The 19,468-nt window shown below is 42.8% G+C and overlaps 1 long non-coding RNA gene across 1 annotated transcript; it reads left to right on the top strand.

The window, feature by feature from the left end:
* The first annotated feature begins 10,984 nt into the window (after window positions 1-10,984).
* On the top strand, window positions 10,985-19,443 carry LOC124904401 (uncharacterized). Its single transcript, XR_007066571.1, has 3 exons — window positions 10,985-11,070; window positions 14,439-14,538; window positions 17,859-19,443. It is a non-coding gene; the product is annotated as an uncharacterized LOC124904401 (long non-coding RNA).
* Window positions 19,444-19,468: the final 25 nt, after the last annotated feature.

Raw genomic sequence — 19,468 nt, 5'->3', positions numbered from 1 at the left:
ATTTAATTATAGCCCACAACTGTCATGGCATTCAACAAGTGCAGTTATTCGTTAAATATGTACTTGTTGAACATCATGGTACTATTATTGAACATCACAATAATATTTCATTTTTTGCATTAACCCTTAATGGTTACAAAGTGCATCTATAATTAGTGTCACACCTAGGCTTCCTAAGAATCCTTTGAGAAGGGAGAAAGGGATAAAAGCATTACCTACCTTATGAGGATTTGTGAGAATCATACAATAAAAGACAAAAGTGCTTAGCACTGGAAGCTGATGCAGCGTAAACAATCATGAAATGTTACTACTAGCACAGTTATTAGCCCATATTACTGATGATATACCTCACTTCCTCAAGTTTGCACAGTGAAGTAGTAGAATTCAGCTAAGAATCTGTTTCCAGACCCCAAATCTGTCTTAGGAAACTATCAGTTGAGATCGCAATTATGGAAGGCAAAAAAACAGAGCCTTAAAGGGAGAGCAAACATGACAGGTTTTATGGTGGGTGAGTAGGCAGAAGTGTTTAGGGACCTTATGTGCATTGTCAAGTGCTCAGGGGAGAGGGTGAGGCCCAGGCTATGTACCACAGGCAGCTGTACAATTCATTTTTGGTTCCTCAAATGTTCTATCTTCCCTCAGCACCTTCACATAGAATGTGTTCCTTCTCCCCTGTCTTATTCTCTGTCTTCACCTCTCTTCCCAACACTTCACCCAACATTCACGCTTCCAGGCTCAACCCAAACATCTCTTCTTCCAGGATGCTCTCCCTGAGCCCCTGTCTGCACCTACTGACAGGCACTCACAGTACTCTGCATGCCTCCTTTAGAGAATAGTTGTCCAATATTTGTCTTCCCAGCTAGGAGGTAAGCACTGAGAAGTCTGCAACTTTCCCTTGCTTGCCGGCTGATGTCTCCCCAGCAGCAGTGTCCAGCACGTTTGTCAAGTGCGGAGCAGCTGCTGGCCACCTTAAAGATGGAAAGGAACGAGACTGAAAAAAGGGTGGGAAGTCATGAAAACAAATTTAAAATGCTTTACTATTTTGCCCTAGAACCACTCGGGGTGGTGCTATTGGGAAGAGCTAGGCAGTGAGAAAACATAAAGGAGGCAACGGAAAGGAGCGAGAAAAAAGACACAAGAAAGGCATGGAGAAGTCACTTGATGCAAAGAGTAGCAGACATAGGTGCTCATCCTGAAGAAGGCTGGGCCATGGATGCCAAGCCTTCCGCAGACATATGAAAGGTTGCTGAGAATTAGCCGTTTCTCTTTCTTTCAAACTTCCCCTTGTTTATGTCTGCCGTCTTTTGTCAGAAAGAGATGCAGGGGCCCTGCTCTCTCCAGAAGACTAACCCCTGCAGCAGTCCATGGAATCCAGGGCTAAGTCTGCTGAGGGGAGAGGGAGGGAGGGAAGAGTTTCCACCAGGATGACATATTTCTGACTCTGCCCTCTGACAACAAAGGGTGCCGGTGGTGGGACTTTTGGCAGGAAGCACCCACCTTTGGGGGAGTCAGAATCATGTTGCGGGGTGACAGTGACTGAGGCGGACCCTGGAGCCCTGGCCGTCTTCCCTGCGCGGCCCTAGGCAGCGGTGCCTGGATGATCTCCTGGGCGCCTCCTCCGAGGTTCAGGCAGGGCTGAGGGAGGATGCGATGCCCGAGCTCCGGCAGGGCCCATTTTGTTTATGTTCCCACTCCTTCGCCCTGGGAAGCCCCGAGTTCCCACACTCACTGAGGCAGGAAGGTCACCACGGACACCTCATCTGTCTGGGCCGTTGACTAACTACAGATAAGCAGCAGCTGCCACATCCATGTTGGGGTCACCTCCCAGTCTGCCCACCCTGGAACCAGGGGAGAAGCCCCCATCCCCGCCCACTTGCACATGATGCCTCCCCAGCAAGGTCAGCTGCTCCTGAGGCCAGGATGGCGACATGGGGCCACAGAAAAACTTGCTTTTGCGGGAGAAGCAAGACATGACTAAGGGATTGAAAGGTCTTAGACATGACTACCCGAGAGCCCAGGCTTATATTTCCACCTTACCTTTTTTTTTTTTTTAGATGGAGTTTCTCTCTGTCGCCCAGGCTGGAGTGCAGTGGTGCGAACTCTGCTCACTGCAACCTCCGCCTCCCGGGTTCAAGCAATTCTCCTGACTCAGCCTCCCGAGTAGGGATTACAGGCACGCACCCCCACGCCCGGCTAATTTTTGTATTTTTAGTGGAAATTGGGTTTTACCATGTTGGCCTGGCTGATCTGGAACTCCTGACCTCAAGTGATTCGCCCGCCTCGGCTTCCCAAAGTGCTGGGATTAAAGGTGTGAACCAGGGCACCCAGCCTACCTTACATTTGCTGAGCACTTTAGAGTTTCACAGCGCTCTACTGCCTGCATCTTTTCACATGACTCTGACCACCACCCGTGAAGATCGCAGAGCAGGTGTTTTTGTGTCCATTTTGCAGATGAGTAAACAGCCCCAGGATGTTCGAGACGCTTGCCAAATTCACACAGATAGTTAGTGGTAAAAGTCATGTTCACGGGGGCTTTGTGCTACCCCATGCAAACACACCACACCAGCTGAACAATCCCAATTTTTATCCCTAAAAGAGGACTCTTTCTCCCAGGTTTAACCTGTTTTCCACCCAAGCCTGCCGTGTAGTGAGAAACATAGCAGTTTTGGAGTTTGAATCTGATTCCTCTTCTTGTTAACCAAATGATTTAGCAGTTGTGTATTTGGGACTTGATTTCCCTGAATATTTGCTTCCACATGTATAAAATGCAGATAATGCTGCCTAACTTGAACGGTTGTTGTAAGGTTTAAGAATAACAAGAAACATCTATTCTCTGTTTTCCATACCCTAAGCTTGGTTCTAAGCACCTTATGTTCATTGACTTATTAAATTCTCACAACATGCCTGTGTGATTTCATGCATGCTATCATTATTTCATTGTACAGTTGAGGAACAATGGCAGAGAGGTAAAGAAACATACCCCAGGTTACACAGAGAGCAGATGGCAGAGCCAGGATTGCAACCCAGACTACAGAGCCGAGTGCTTAATCTCCAAGCTATATTGACTATGCAAATTATGTTTACTGTCCACAATCGGCACTCAATCAACAGCTATTACTAAGAATTGGGGAAGGGTTTGTTTGAATTACAAGAAAAATGATCAGCTAACTACCTGAACTAATTAGATGAATCAATAGTCCTGTCTACTCAAAAATATTTTCTATGTAGTATTCTGGTTTCTAATTTCTTCCCACTAGATTCATAGCTTTAGAGCACGAAGTCACCCAAGGGACTTTTGGCAATGTCTAGAGACATTTTTGGTTGTCACAAATGTGGGGTGCTACTGGCATCTAATGGGTTAGGCCAGGGATACTGCTAAACATCCTACACAGAAGAGTTCCTCAAAAAAGAATTATCTGGCCCGAAATGTCAATATGCTGAAGTTTAGAAACTACTTTAAAATTGAGTATTTAGAGTTGAGTCATGATTACTTAAGTTTTGAAGTGCCCTGCTGGATCCAAATTTGACACATATACTAATTTGTTTATTCAAATTGGACACATATACCAGTAAAGTAATGCCCTGTTTAATATCTAGTGATACATTAACATGGTTCCTTATATGTGATCATTTGTCATTACTTATTGTTGCTGCTGCTATTGTTACCAAGCAAAGCAGATGTGTGCCCTAGAAATGGCCAGGCTGATTTGGGGTTTGTGGTAGAGTTAGAAAATTGAAGCTGTTTTTCTGTTAAATTACGTTACCAACCTCCAAATTGCTGGCATTTCTTCCAATATATTGAAGTAGGTCATAAATAAACTCACAGCAATGCCATTTCCTTTCAGCATACAACTCTATGAATCCCTGGTATCTTTCAGTGCAGTCAGCTCTTGTTTTGTGTGTTATGTACACACCAAACAGATTTTTAAAGTTTAATTTTGTTGGCCCCTTTTGAAAACTCCTGTAGCTAATGACATTTTCAAAATGATAAAAGTTTTATTTTGTCAAACAGAACTTTGACCAACAGAACACCCTTGGTACCCGATGCACGTGTGGCGCATCTGTGATGCCTGGCAGCATACTGAACTTTCTTACTTTGTTGGAAAACACTGCGTGTCACATCATCAACACTGATTTTCATATCATCATGCATTAGCTTCAAAGACTGTGTTTATAATCCTCAAAGGAGTTGTATCAGTCAGTTTTAGCCAGGTTGTGATACAGTAATGGATAATCCCCATATCCTAATAACAAAATAGATTTGTATTTGTTCATGTTACATGTACACCGTAAATTGGCCACTGATTACTTCATGTCTTTTGCATTCTTAATCTAGACTGAAGGAGCTGGCCCTATTTGGGATATGGTAGCATCATAGCAAGGGAAATGAGAAAGATGAAACCACATGATGGGTCTTAATAGTTTCTGCTCAGCATATATGACATATGTTTGCCTTCTATTGGTCAATGCAAGTCCATGGCCAAATTCCTTCCATAGGCCCCATAGGCAGGGGCAGCAAATATTTTAAACAATAAGATAATCTGCTATAAGAGTCTGTTTTTGCCACCAAAGTCACAAACTTCTAAAGAGCCAGGGACTCAGCCTTGAATCATTGCTTTCTAAAGATGTTTTTATCAAGAAATGGGGAGAGAATGTAAAATGAAAAAGTTGAAGAAGTAAAATTATCAGATTCTAATGGTTAATTTGACAAGGAGCAGAGTTGGGTGGCAATGCCAAGGAAAAGACAGAAATGAAAAATAATTTCTAAGATTCCAGACTGATAAATGATAGTGTCAACAAGTGAGGTAGAGAAGAGAGAAGAAAAAGAGGTTTAGAAGGAGACAAAACAAGTTTCATTTTTGATGCAATGAATATAAGGTGTCTTTGGAACATCCGTGTAGAAATATGCAGTGGACAGCTGGATATACGAGTGTGGCTCCTGAGAGAGTACTAAGCTGGAAACAAAGCTCTGAGATGCAAGACCATGTAAATAATAATAATCACTATTAGGGTTGCATTTATTGACTATTTGCTATGTGTCAGGCACTATGCTAAGAATTTTCATACAATTTGCGTATGTTGTATTATTTAATTTTCATGTAACCATCTAAGCTGGGTATATATATATATATATATATAGTCGATGTTATTTATACTCATTTGGCTGATGAGTTTAAAAGAGGGAAGCTTAGGGCCGGGCGCGGTGGCCCACATCTGTAATCCCAGCACTCTGGGAGGCCGAGTCCGGCGGATCATGAGGTCAGGAGATTGAGACCAACCTGGCTAACACGGTGAAACCCTGTCTCTACTAAAAATACAAAAAGTAGCCGGGCGTGGTGGCGGGCACCTGTAGTCCCAGCTACTCGGGAGGCTGAGTCAGGAGAATGGCATGAACTTGGGAGGCGGATGTTGCAGTGAGCCAAGATTGCGCCACTGCACTCCAGCCTGGGTGACAGAGCGAGACTCCATCTCGAAAAAAAAAAAAAAAAAAGAGGGAAGCCTAAAAGTTGATATAATTTAGCCTAGGTCTCACAGCTAGGAAGTTGCAAAAAAGATGCAAGTGTTTAATCTGTGTAACTGACATTTTAGCCAGGTACAGTCTCAGTTGGAACCATGACGGCAAATGAGAACATCCAGAAACCAAAGATAGAAAGAAAAGAGAAGAGCAGTGGGCCAAGGGCAGGACCCTAAGGAATATGAACACTTAAGGAGCAGGAAGAAAAAGAGCCCTTGGAGAAGACAGAGAAGGAACAGCTAGAGGGAGACTTGAAGAGCACAGTCTCAGAAGCCAAGTGTGCAGAGAGTGACAACGAAAGGGAGGGTCTAACAAAGTCAGGGATAACAGAGTAGCTGAAGAGCAGACCTTGGAAATGTTCCTTGGTGTTGAGAGTTAGGTCTGCTCCCTGACAGCATCTCTAATCTCAGGGAAGCATCTGTAACCAGCCTATTCCCCACCCACAACTCAGGAATAATAATAATAAAAAAACACAGGTGGCTAGTCACACACTGACTTTGGAAACATCAACCTGTTGCTGGTTCACTCTCTGAACTTTGTTTCTCAAGACTGCCTTGAATTTTTTACCTGTCTGGATAGATCTTTGTTTCTGGGTCTTAGTGACCTGGCTTTCAGTCTCTACCTATGTACACTTCTCTGAGGTTCTGGACTGTTCTCTCAGCTTAGGAAACCCAGCCTTACACCACATCCTTATTTTTGGTTACTACCCACTCCCACCTACAGTCAGTGAGGTTGGGCACTGACCCTCAATCCACAGGGCTGTATCTCCAGCTGATTCTCTGAAACTCAGCCTCCATACGGGAAATGAGTTGTGGTCTCAGCTGGTGGTTGCTGTATCTGTTCTGTAGATGTAGCAAATGTCTGACAACAGGGCTGCTGCCTTCGAGATCACAGGTTGCTGGTCAGATTTGCCAAGTCTTGCACTGCCTGTTGCCAGAGCAAGCTGTCTGTCTTCAGGTGGGCCTTCCCAGTTGCCATGTTATTTTTTGTCACAGCTCCAGTAGCTTATGGAGATAGAAGGCTTATATTTGGGGAAGAGGATACTTATGTAAATGGGACTTCTCATGTCTTCTGGATAGTGGCCTGGCTATAGTCTGGAAGCCCACACTGTGTGGACACCACTGGGACTTTCTCATAGCCCTGATTGATTGGCAAGAGTCCTTGAAATCTGTAGAGTAGGCAACTACAGCATCAGAGTGGGTAAGTATCCAGACCTGCCTCACTCTCAGAGATTTGAACCGAATGAGCCAGTATTATGAAGAAAAGCAAAAAGCATCTCCTCGAAAGTCCTGCAAGAAGAGTCCCCTCTGATGTGAGGGCACCAGAAACCTGTAGCATCTCTATTATTTTTGTTTAGTTGGAGGCTGCACCCACCCATCAGCCTTCCCTGACCATATCCCTCAGTGAGGGTTACCAGACTTAGAAGATGAAAATACAGGATGCCCAGTTAAATTTGAACTTCAGATAACAAATACATATTTGGTATAAGTATATGCCACACAATATTTGGGATAGATTTATATTAAGACATTATTCAACATTTATTTGAAATTCAAATTTAATTGGTGTTCTGAATTTTATCTGGCCTCCCTGTGGCCACCACAACACCCATAACTTGAGACTTGGTAGGAATTCATAGGCCTTGAAATCCACTGGGGCCCTATCTCTCCCAAGAAGGCAGTGGAGAACTTTGTGAGGAAGAAAAGCAGATGACTGGGCCTCTGCTAGGATTACTGGGATCCTAATACTGTCTGGTTCCCTCTCCTGGGCCAGCTCAGAAGGACCATAAAATTAGATCTTCTGAGTGCCTAGCACCTTGTCTGCCTTCCATCGTTGCATTTGGATGACAGAGAGTTTGCAGAGAACACAATGCCTCTTGACCTATGGCAGCAGCATGATCAGTATCCTGCAGGACTTTCAAGGGGATGCTTTTTGCTCTTCTTGGAAAATGTCCTAATATATCCTGAAACATCCACATGCAACCTGACTAGCTATGCTTCATACAATACTCTAGCCCCAACAGTTCTGAGTTACCTGAAACATCAGCACCTTCAAAACAGCACAGAAATGTGTGACATTTCTGAACCAAGTTCAGTGTAGCCAGTTATCTGTGATTCTGGAGTGAGAGACACCCTGGTCACTGAGGTTACCTAGACATTTTCAAGAGATGTCTAACACCATTTTGTCTTTTTCTGTGCAACTGCCCTAGTAATGACCTCCTAAAATAGAGAAGGAAGTTTCCTGATGTGCTGAGGTTGACACTATGTTTGGCAAGTCAAGACTCGCTGCACCTCTGCTCCAGTACAGCACAAGCAAGCACTGACGATGTGCCAGGCACTGCTGAAAGGGCTTGCCTATATTAACTAATTTAATACTCATGATAACCCTATGAGCTATATGCTATTATTATTGCTGTTTTGCGGATGAGGAAACTGAAACATGGAGTGATAAAGTAACTCCTATAAAGCCATACAGGTAAAAAATTTACTAAGAATAGAAATGAATGCAAGCAACTCAGCTCCACAGTGTGTCCTCTGCACCTGCATGCCAGCTCTACACAGCTGGAACCTAGCTTCATTCAGCATCACACTGTTGAGACTGGTGCTGCCAACACTGTGGAGTGGGCCACCCTGACCCAGGAGAAGCTTTATGCCACACTTCATTATCCCTGCGTGGAAAGGGGAAGGGCCTGTGGTCAAGCATGTTTTCAAGCCCTAGAGGGTCCAATGTGTGATAGGGACTTCAGTCTGCCATAGCCTGAAAGCTCAGCTCATGCTATGCAAGGCAGCTCACCTTATCTGTGCTTGGGTGCTCCATCAGCTGTGTGCCCAGCACTCAGAATCACAGACCAGATTCTCTATCCTGAAAGCCTGAGTACAAGAGGTAACAGAGAGACTCGCTCTGGAAGACTATGGCTTGAGTATTTCACAATCATTCTGCTCAAATGATGTATTTTAGACATTTATGCATGGTCTTAATCCTGATACAGGGCCTCTTGGGGCAATTTGGATTGATGTTAAATGCCACGAAGCTCTTCATAGGAGCAAGGCAGTGCTCATCCCTGCTAGGAAGGCCAGAATGCAGCCTCAGCACAGCCACTGGCCCTCCCTGAGGTGATATGGTCTGGTACACTACCACAAAAGCACCTGGACCCAAAGCAAAGATACCTCAGGGTTCCTCTAGAGCCGCGGTGACTCCTTCTGATCCACACTCGCATCTGAAACTCCAGTTTTGGGACTTCTATTTGTTGTCTGCCCGCTTCCTGGATTGATTGATTGATTGATTGTTATAGAGACAGGGTCTTGCTATGTTGCCCAGGCTGAACTCAAACTCATGGGCTCGGGTTATCCTCCCACCTCAGCCTCCCAAGTCATTGGGAGGTCTGCCCCTCTTGACCTCTTCCCTGACTCTGCCCTCTTCCCTCCCTGCATTGCTCCTCCACCCATTCCAGTCATTTATACCCTGATAGGTAAAAGAGGGCTTCTACTTTCATGGTCTCTCAAAGCACTGCTTTCCAACCACAGCCCTCAGCTGTGCCTCAGTTTGGGCCTATCAGGTCTACATCCACATACCCACCACCCCTAGACAGGTGACAAAAGTAGTGCTTAAGAAACAAATGTGCTTTTTTGCCTCCCCCACACAACTGACTGCTCTGGCTAATATCACTGCTACACACTTTGCTTTCACTAATTATTATTGCCTGCCCTCCAGAACTGCTTTTTTGCATACAAAGGTTTTTGTCCTTAGTGTTTTTTTTACACCTCTTCTTGGTATTATTATTATTGTTTTTTATTTTTTTATTTTTCGAGACGGAGTCTCGCACTTTGGCCCAGGCTGGAGTGCAGTGGCGCGATCTCTTGACTCACTGCAAGCTCCGCCTCCCGGGTTCACGCCATTCTCCTGCCTCAGCCTCCCGAGTAGCTGGGACTACAGGCGCCCGCCACCATGGCTGGCTAATTTTTTGTATTTTTAGTAGAGACGGGGTTTCACTGTGTTCGCCAGGATGGTCTCGATCTCCTGACCTCATGATCCGCCCGCCTCGGCCTCCCAAAGTGCTGGGATTACAGGCGTGAGCCACCGTGCCTGGCCCTCTTCTTGGTATTATTGATATTCCTGCAGCTAGACAGTACCCGGGAAGGAATGCACCAACTAGAAGGAGCTTTAATGAGCCTACTGTGTTATGGCTGGCATCAGCCTTCAGAGAGGTTTGAGCATAGGATGCCATCTAATTCCCCGCCAGCCCATTCATTCTATCCAACTAATGGGAAAACTAGAGGATTGCTGATAATAATAGCATCAGCAAAAATAGTTACCATTTATCAAGCATTTACTATGGGCCAAGTACTACGCTAAATGCTCTGCATATATTTTCTCACTTAATTCTCAAAAAATGCAATGAGGAGAATGCTATTTTATCTCTAGCTCACAGCTGAGAAAACTGACCTGCCAAAAAAGCCGCATAATGAATAAGTGATAGAGCAAAATTTTGAACGCAAGTTAATTTAAAGCCTGGGCATTCAGCCACTCTGCTGCCATTATCATACATCATCTGACTTCCTTCATGTCCCATCTCCCAACTTCTGTTTTTTATTTTCTCTTTTCCTGATTCTCCAGTTACCCACCCTAGCAGTGGAGGTGATATATATGAACTGCATGCCAAAGTGGGTGTAGACTCATAATGACAACATAATGACACCAACTGGACCATGGGAAATGGTGAAGGCAAGAGTAGTTATTTCAACTTGGCCCTTTGAAACAGAGACCCTGCCGCAAGTTATGAGGGGTTTAAGTATTTTCCTGTTTCATTTGCCCTTAGATCCCAAACACCTAGAACTGTGCCTAGCTCATAGTAGGAGCCCAAGAAATACCAGCATGGAAACCTGGAAAGCTGGGGTAAATCTGATGAAGAGCACAGGAGCCTTAGTAAATCCGGGTGATCTGAAACTGGCTCTTAGTTGAGCCAGATGATAGGATCTTAATGACAATTGTGCACCACTTCTCATTTCTTGCGACTCTTTGCAGGTTTGCTTCTTGCTGTCTTATTCCAACTAAAAAATTCTGTTTACTTTTCATGTATTTTCTCTACCTCAGAATTGTTGCTTATTCATAAATTCTGCCTTCTTATCACATGGTTCTGCTTCCTCATAGTTTTGGTTTGCTATAATCCTCCATGGCTCCACTCCATTGTATGCCATCCTTTCAGCTTCAGCTCCCATGGCTAACTGCTTCTTTCTATCCATGTTTCCCAATTCAAATCCCAGAAGGAGAGAATCTGATTGATCAAACTTACCTTTTCCACTCAAGCCCTGGTTTTTGGGAAGGCAGCCCCTAATGTCAAGGGCCAATCACTGGTCCAATCAGGAGCCATCCCTGGGCAAAGAACAACCTACCTCTGCTTCTCAAAGCAGGGGGCTCTGGGTGGGGCACTTTCATCTCAAAGAGGAAGTTGGGTGTGGCAGGCACTGTGTTGACATATCTCATTTCTGAAAGAGATAGCATTGTAGATCTGGACGTTTCATCACATATTCCCAGGAAAGCCCAGCCAAATGCAGCTGGTAAGTTGCTGAATGTGGAATTCCTCTTGGCCTTCCAACTCCTTGCACTCTTCCTTCTGGGACTACTTTGGTTTTTCAGTTTATTACCTGTTTGGAGTTGGCTTGTTTCTGGACTCTCTCTTCTGCTCAGGTGAGCAGACTTCTAACTGGAACGCCTGGCTCTTGGACAAGGTGAGTGTTTGGATCCAACTTTGGTTCTGCACCATTCTTTCAACTTGGATGACATTGCCTCACCTCTTGTATCCTTGTCCTCTCCCTTCTACTCAATCCACTCTGCTCTGGGTTATTATTTACCTGAGGGTGCCTTCCCTTCCCAGACCCACCAACATACTCCTGAGGGAAGAACATTCAAAAGCAGCTGGTGGCTTCAGTGAGATCAATTTTTAGAGGAATGATCGGGGCAGAAGCTAGATAGAAGCAAGTTGAGGAAGTGGAAATAGTGAGTGCAAGACACTTTTCTGAGAAGTTTAGATGAAAAGGAGGGGAAGAAAACAGCTATGTGTCAAGAGTTTGGTGTGTGTGTGTGTGTTTTATTTTTTTTGAAAGAATTTGCTTCTTATTATATAACACATGATTTTGTAAAACATTTTGAAAAAAACAAAAATTATAAACAATATGTTTACAATTGCCCATTAAACTACTACCTAAGTAATTACAATAGTTACCAATTTTTGAATACCTACTAAACAGAAGAATTATGCTAGGAACTTCATGAATTATTTTTCTATTTCTTGTGCAATACAATGTCCCAGATGGGTCAGAATTCAGACAGATATGGCTGTGATGCAGAATTAGACAATGTCTCTTCCCTTTAAGCAATGATTGGCATCCATTGATTTATAAGGGGGCTGAGAAGTTTGCTGGGGGCAAAATGGAAATATTTGCCTCAGTAGGGTCTTCAGCATTCATGGGCATGTCTGGAGACAGTTCCAGAGGTAGGCAGAGTGCTGGCAGGAATGGTGGGGCCCCTGGAGAGAGCACCGTTGGTTGAGGAAGGAGTTTGTAACGGTAAGACTGGGCTTTAGACCTGGAAGGTCGTGGTAAGTCTGACTGTCACAGGGAAGGGCCTAACCCAGCTTCCTTGCATGTGTCTTCCCAGAAGAAAACAAAGAAGGGCCTCTGAGTCATGGAAAGAGCCATGAAACTCTTTAATGCTCTAGGGCCTATCGCCCAGTAACTGGTAACTCAGTGTTATATTAAGGAAGAGAGCTTTTCTTTTCCCACTTTGAAAGAGGATGCTGACAGACATCACAGGGGCTATCATAGCCCTCAATTTCCCATAAAACCGGCACCACAGTGCCAGCTGTGATTGCAGAAAAAGGTTTTTATCCAAGTTGTGTTAAGGAAATAGTAGTTGATTTCAGTTAATTCAGTCATAACACTTTACCTTGAGCATTAATGCTGAAAAAGTCAACTCTCTTACTTCCTGTTTTTCAAAAGCATTATTGGCTAGGGTAACTGTGCAGGGCTCCACGCTGACACCGTTTGTGGACTTTTAGCTCACAGTGGTGCTGTCAGTGCCAGCATCTTGGTGTCTGGCTAACTATAACAATACACATGATGACAACACTGGCTTAAGAACACAGGTAAGATCTGTCCACCAATGACACCCAAATGTCTTTGTACAAAAACACCTACTCGATGAGGCCCTCCCTGACCACCTTATGTAAAACCGAGCAACCCCTCTGCCTTCCTACCCTCTGCCTACCCCGACTTTCTTTCCATAGCACTTATCATCATCTCATGTTTTGTCATTTTTGTTTCTTTTTCTTCTTTTTTAATCATCGTTTTTCCTGTCCCAAAAAGCAAATGCCAAGAAAGCAGTGTCCAGGTCTGTCTGTTTATTGTTGTGTCCCCAGAGCCCACATCAGTGACTCACACAGAGTGCTCAATATTTATTGAGTTAATCCATTTCATGAATTTCTCATAAATATTTGGGGAAGGATAAGAACTATGAAGATTTTTAATTAACATGATCACATTTGGATTTATGGCTCAGGAGAACCAAGGATATTTGCTTACATTTATACCACCCTTACAAGGTCCATACTCTAATATGGCCACTTTACAGGTGAGGAAACTGAGGATCAGAGTGAAAGCAACCTGCCTCAGCCCCCATAGATAATAACGATCAGAGCCAATATAAACTGGTGTAGTAAGTAAGAAGACAAAGTAGGTAGTATTGCTATAGGTAAAGCAAGAGCTAAGGAAAGCCTTAGTTGATATGGCAGAAATAGGAACAGAGAGAAAGGGACAGAAAAGGAAGAAACTGTGAAGCCTGATTAGAAATATGGAAGGCAGAATTCAATATACTCCTAGAAGCAGCCCATGAAAATAAAATGAAGAAAGAAGGATTGTTTTTCTAAGAGGAGGGTGGCTTCAATTTCTTTCAGAAAAGATTGGCTAACTGAAAACTAAGAAAGAAACAGACCAAATCCTTGTAGCTTCTAGCACATCTATGATAAAATTCTGTTAATTGGATTTCATACTTGGATTATAACTGCACAACACATGAGAGTAAAATGCCTTAAGACAAAAAGAGTAAAAATTGAGTCATAATATGGAGACGATACTATTCTGGCAATAGTATTCAAAGAATGGACCAGGGAGCAGTGCACAGCTTTGGGAAGCAGGGGTTGTCAACATTAGGACTCAGAGTTGTTAGTGATGAGGTTCCCAGGCAACATAAGAGACCCTTGAAAAAGGCTTTGGCTTAGGGAAAAAGAATTATAGGGGCCAGACGCGGAGGCTCACACCTGTAATCCCAGCACTTTAGGAGGCCGAGGTGGGTGGATCACCTAAGGTCAGGAGTCCAGGACCAGCCTGACCAATATGGTGAAACCCCGTCTCTACTAAAAAATACAAAAATTAGCTAGGCATGGTGGTGTGTGCCTGTAGTCCCAGCTACTCCGGAGGCTGAATGACTTGAACCCGGGAGGCAGAGGTTGCAGTGAGCTGAGATTGGGCGCCACTGCACTGCAGCCTGGGGCAACAGAGTGAGACTTCGTCTCAAAAAAAAAAAAGAATTATAGGACCCAAGTAAGAAGGTCTGGCTCCCTTGGCATTTCTCACCCCCTGGCCCATTAGCTGGTGTTGCAGACTCCACTGTGGTACTCCAAGGGGTTTTAGAGAAAGAACCAGGGCAGATGACCATCCAAATCAGAAGGGCCAGGTAGGATGGTCAGCCACACATGTGAGGGGCAGATAGGGAAACAGAAGATTAATGCATATGGGAAGCCCCAGGAAGCTAAATCCATCCCAGATCACACTGGATACTGGCTCTGTTGAGGCAGGTGGTGGGGGGTCAGCCTGGTGACAGCATATTTGTTCATTCAATCAATATTTACTGAATGCTCTTTATATTCTAGGCACTGTGCCAGACATTGGGCTAGGTGCTGGGAATTGAAATAATAAACTATTTCCTGATTTCTCTTCTCTCTTCTGGAGAAAGAATTGGATTAGAACAAGGTATGGTTCTCACTGGCACAGGGATTGGGCAAGGCCGTCTGCAAGAGGCAGACATCAGCTTGGGCAATGGGGTCAAGTTGGGGATGGCAGGCCCTGGCTGATACAATACTTATATTTTACCTGAAATCTGTGTTTATTTTCTATCTTGAACCTGGTATTGTTTATATTTGATAAGCAAATTTTATGTTTTAAGTAATTCCTAGACATACAGTTAGGACATTTTGCAGGGGAGGGCTTTTGATTTTTAATCCTAAAAGCATTAGTTTGTCTGTATTGCCGGGCTTGACAATCACATAAAATAAGTGTATTTCAAATCACTCAATAGGAGTGGCTGCAAATAGGGGAAAGAACATGATCTATTACTACTTTGGATTACTACTTTTTACTGGCAAACCATAAATCACAGTGGGGAAGCCACAGTGGAGTATAAGGAACTTAAATCATGGCAAGAGTGATTTAAGGTCAGTCAGTGCAGCAGATAATCTGGAGAGATGATCCCACTCATAACCCTTTAAGACATGACACTTGGTAAACTACCTAACTCATAAGGGTGTCCTGGCAGTGAACCTCCACACCTCCTGGTTGGGGTGTGTGCTCCATCTCACCCAGCTTAAGTAGGCCTGAAAGACCACCCTGTTCTCTCAGGCAAGAGTATTCCTCTTCATTACTGGAAGGGAATTAAAGACAAAGCTGGTCTAATCAATAACCGCAGGCCCTTGTCTCACTGAGAAGAATAAAAATGAATACGCAATTATTTGCCATTGTGGAATGTGTTTTCCCTAGTATCAATGCTGTATGTAATACTAAGATTTCTACAGCCTATTTAATATAGAATATATACATACACGCACATGCAAACACATACACACAGATATATATATATATATAGTTGCCTCTTGTATGGTATCCAGTCAAGTGTCTTTACTGTAACTGGAAATCAAAATTACATCAATAGAAAAAAATGCTACACCAGTAGAAAAGGTGGGGGGGGGGAATAGGAGAATGAAAAAGGGGAGGAGCAAAAATGAAAATTCACTTTTAAACAAATGTAACTTTGGCTATATGGTTACAGGTATAGGTTCTGGCTGAAAAGATTTCAATGTCTGCTTTAATGTAAATTATAAGTATTCCAGAAGACAGATAATTTTATTTTACTTTTTTTTTTTTTGAGAGGGGGTCTTGCTCTGGCCCCCAGGTTGGAGTGCAATGGTGCGATCTCGGCTCACTGCAATCTCTGCCTCCCAGGTTCAAGCAATTCTCCTGTCTCAGCCTCCCGGGTAGCTGGGACTACAGGCACCCGCCACCACGCCCGCCTAACTTTTGTATTTTTACTAGAGATGGGATTTCATCATACTGGTCAGGCTGGTCTCAAACTCCTGACCTAAGGTGATTCACCTGCCTCAGCCTCCCAAAGTGCTGGGATTATAGGTGTGACCCACTGCACCTGGGTGACAAGATAATTTTAGGAGCCACTTTAAAAAGTTTCCGGAACTGTAGTCTATTATTTCAGTCTCAGTCCCATACACCATGAAAAATTTAGGGCATTTCATTGCTACAAAGAATTTTAAAGCAGAATCAATCCATGTAATTAAATCTTAACATTTATTAAGTGCTTATTGTATATCAGGTACTTTTACTTTTCTAATCATTGTACAGTTATTAATTCATTCAAATCTTACAAAAGTCTATGAGTTATTGTTTCCATTTTACAGATGAGGAAATTGAGGCACAAATATTGCCCAAGATCTCACAGTTAGTGATTGACAGTAAGATTCACACTCAGACCATCTGACTCTGGAGGCCACACTTGTCATTCATGTTAATCTTACTTAACATGCTTCATGCTAACTACAGACTTAGTTATCTCCATATGCATCTTTCAAGTAGATGGCTTATCACAACAGCAATTAGACCTGTTTACATGTTTGGCGCTTATTTATTGAATGATTACCTACTACACACTGAAATTGGTTAAGTTTGTTTCTAAAACTGACAAGCTTTGTTTTAAAAACAATTCATCTTCTTCCGCTCTTTTTTTCACAAGAGGTAGTTGTTTGGATAGTAACCTTTTGAGAACCAAAAGAAGTGAAGGAGAGCTACTTTTGTGAGAATGAAAGGTGGAGGGTCATTCATTCAAGAACTTGTTTTTACCAGGTACCAGTTGTCAGTATGCAAAAGCAGCGAGGTATGCCAATGTAATTCATGTTCAATAAACATCATAAAATTTATTTCTATACATTAAAATCTTCCTGTGTAACAAAATGCATGTTTTATTTTTATCTGCCACTTTTCTTAAGTCAGTAGACAATTCCCTCTTCTTTCTCCCAGGCTTGATATGAGGTTAGCTTTTCACAATTGGTACTTCTGGGGGGGCAAAAAACAGGCAAAATAAGTGAATGGGAAAGCACTCAGACTTATTATTTATTAATTTGTGATATTCTAGCCTTTCAGTGACTCTTTTCATGCTATTTTTTCCAACTTCTGTGGGATGGGGAAAAAACTTATCCGGAGTGACAACATTTCTATTTTCCATTATTATTTCTTGCATAAGATATTCAAAAACAATTGTTTTGGCATCATCTCACTTCGAAGATAAAGAAAGCAATAGTAAATATCAGCCTGCATATTGGGAATTCTTCTAGAGAATATTATTTAGACTTCATGAAACAAAAGAGGAGCTAAAATTATGCTTTGTGTAAATCTCAGATAGTGGTTTTGGCTTAAAATTTGCTATCCCAGCACTTTGGGAGGCTGAGGTGGGCAGATCACGAGGTCAGGAGATCGAGCCCATCCTGGCTAACACGGTGAAATCCCGTCTCTACTAAAAGTACAAAAAAATGAGCTGGGCGTGGTGGCGGGCGCCGGTAGTCCCAGCTACTTGGGAGGCTGAGGCAGGAGAATCGCTTGAACCCAGGAGGCGGAGGTTGCAGTGAGCCGAGATCGGGCCATTGCACTCCAGCCTGGTGACAGAGTGAGACTCCGTCTCAAAAAAAAAAAAAAAAAAAAAGAACTTTCTGTTGTGTTAAAGTTAACTAGCGAGGAGACTCTTGATTCCTAAGAAATATTAACCTTATATCCCCAAATATATTTCATGTGCAGTTCAACAAATGAAAGTTAGGTGCTCTGAATAGGTTTTGGGGTTAATGAGTCTATTAGAATACAGGCTTTTTGTATAGCAGCCTCGGAGAGCTAGCCCAGCCAGGCCCAGTTTCTGCTGTTTCTCAAGCACAGGAGGCTGAGAGTAGAGAAAAGTGCTCTGTAAGAAGGCTGAGCCCCTCACTGGAGGTGGAACTACTACCCTACATGTTTTGTTTGTTTAGATGATACGCTGAGAACCAAATCTACCCTGTCAGCTTACTCTTCAAGAACAAGCCAAGCAACTGAAAACTGAGTCCACGCTCAGCTAAGTCAAAGCCCAGGGGATTACTGGCATCACCACCCACCCCACCTGGAGCATGACAATGTCTGTGAGAGAATAAGAGATGGGTGGTGTCACCACTATCTTTCTCTTTCTGTTCTCCAAATTATAATAATAACAGTCTCTTTTCCTCCTCTAAACATTTTTTATAAAGGAGGTTGAACTCAGTTGAAATATCTTGAAATTACTGTGGCTGGTTTACAAGCCACTCTGGAAAGTTATGCTCTGGCATAAATTTAGCAGCTATGTTTTACTGTAAAAAGAAACCCAGGGACATAGCTTATTAAGAAAATGTGGTCAAAGTGAGAATTTTCTTTGGTTTTATGAATAAATATAGATATTATATTACAAAATTAGATTTATATCGTTGAGCTTGATACTAGACAGTAAATATTATTTCTTAGGAAAAGGTTAATACATCATTAAATTTTAAAAGTTGAACACAAAATCTCTAACAAATTAAATTTAAATATTTCCATTTCAATATCATTGCAGACAGTTCATGGTAGTGAAGTACATTGAGAAAACTTGTTCTTTAAGAAAACAAACTTCTGGGTAAAAGATAGTAATATATCAGCAAAAAAAGATTTTTATCAAGAGGGTTGAAGGCTATAGCATCATCAAGGTAAAGATCAAATAGCATGGAGGCTAAAATAAACCTGTGCTTTTTTGAGCGGGTGGTCAATAGAAATTGGCTCTGTTGCTGGAGATCCTGAATTTTAAATTCTGGTGATCAGGCCAGTAATATGCTGATGAAGCAGAAATGTCACAGCATATTTTACCAAGTCAAAGACAGGCAACAGTTATGAGAGGGACATGGAGAACCTGGTAGAGCTCTGTGTACTATGCTGAATTAATAAATAGAGAACTAACTTAAGGTGGACAAAACTGCTGGGTGTCTCTCAGGCTTCTAATGTTTTCAAAATGTATTTGAAGACTTAAAGCCTTATAATAATAAGAAGAAGAGTAGTCCAAGTTCTGTTTATTTCCTTTTAAAAGGAGTCAACACTTGAGGAGACAATTCTGTACTCCCACAACAGGAAAAATGCATCCTTTTACCGTGTGAATAATTGAACCAGAGTCATTGCCCACTCTTCAGGAAATAGCTCATGTAAACTTTTGGCCGACCTGTGCTTCACAGTGCACTTACCTCTTGACATCCACCTCTGTAAACTTTTATTTGTATTACCAAATATTGACTGCAAACAAAAAAAAAAAAAAGGAAGAAAAAGGAACCTCCCTTATACAATTACAGAACGTTAGAGCAAAAGAGAACTGAAAGATGATCTTGTGCAGGCCACCATTTTATAGATGAAGAAACAAAAGCACAGAGTGACTTGCTAATGCTTCACCAAGCTGGCACAGCCTGGCCTAGAGCTACATTCCCCTGTGTCCCAGACCCACATGCCAGCACCAACATCATGGATCCTCTCTCTCTCTCTCTTTTGAGACAGAGTCTCACTCTGTTGCCCAGGCTGGAGTGTAGTGGTGCAATCTTGGCTTACTGCAGTC

This window comes from Homo sapiens, chromosome 1 (assembly GCF_000001405.40).
Source record: "Homo sapiens chromosome 1, GRCh38.p14 Primary Assembly".
NCBI classification, from domain to species: domain Eukaryota; kingdom Metazoa; phylum Chordata; class Mammalia; order Primates; family Hominidae; genus Homo; species Homo sapiens.
This window is presented reverse-complemented; position numbering and strand designations above follow the sequence as displayed.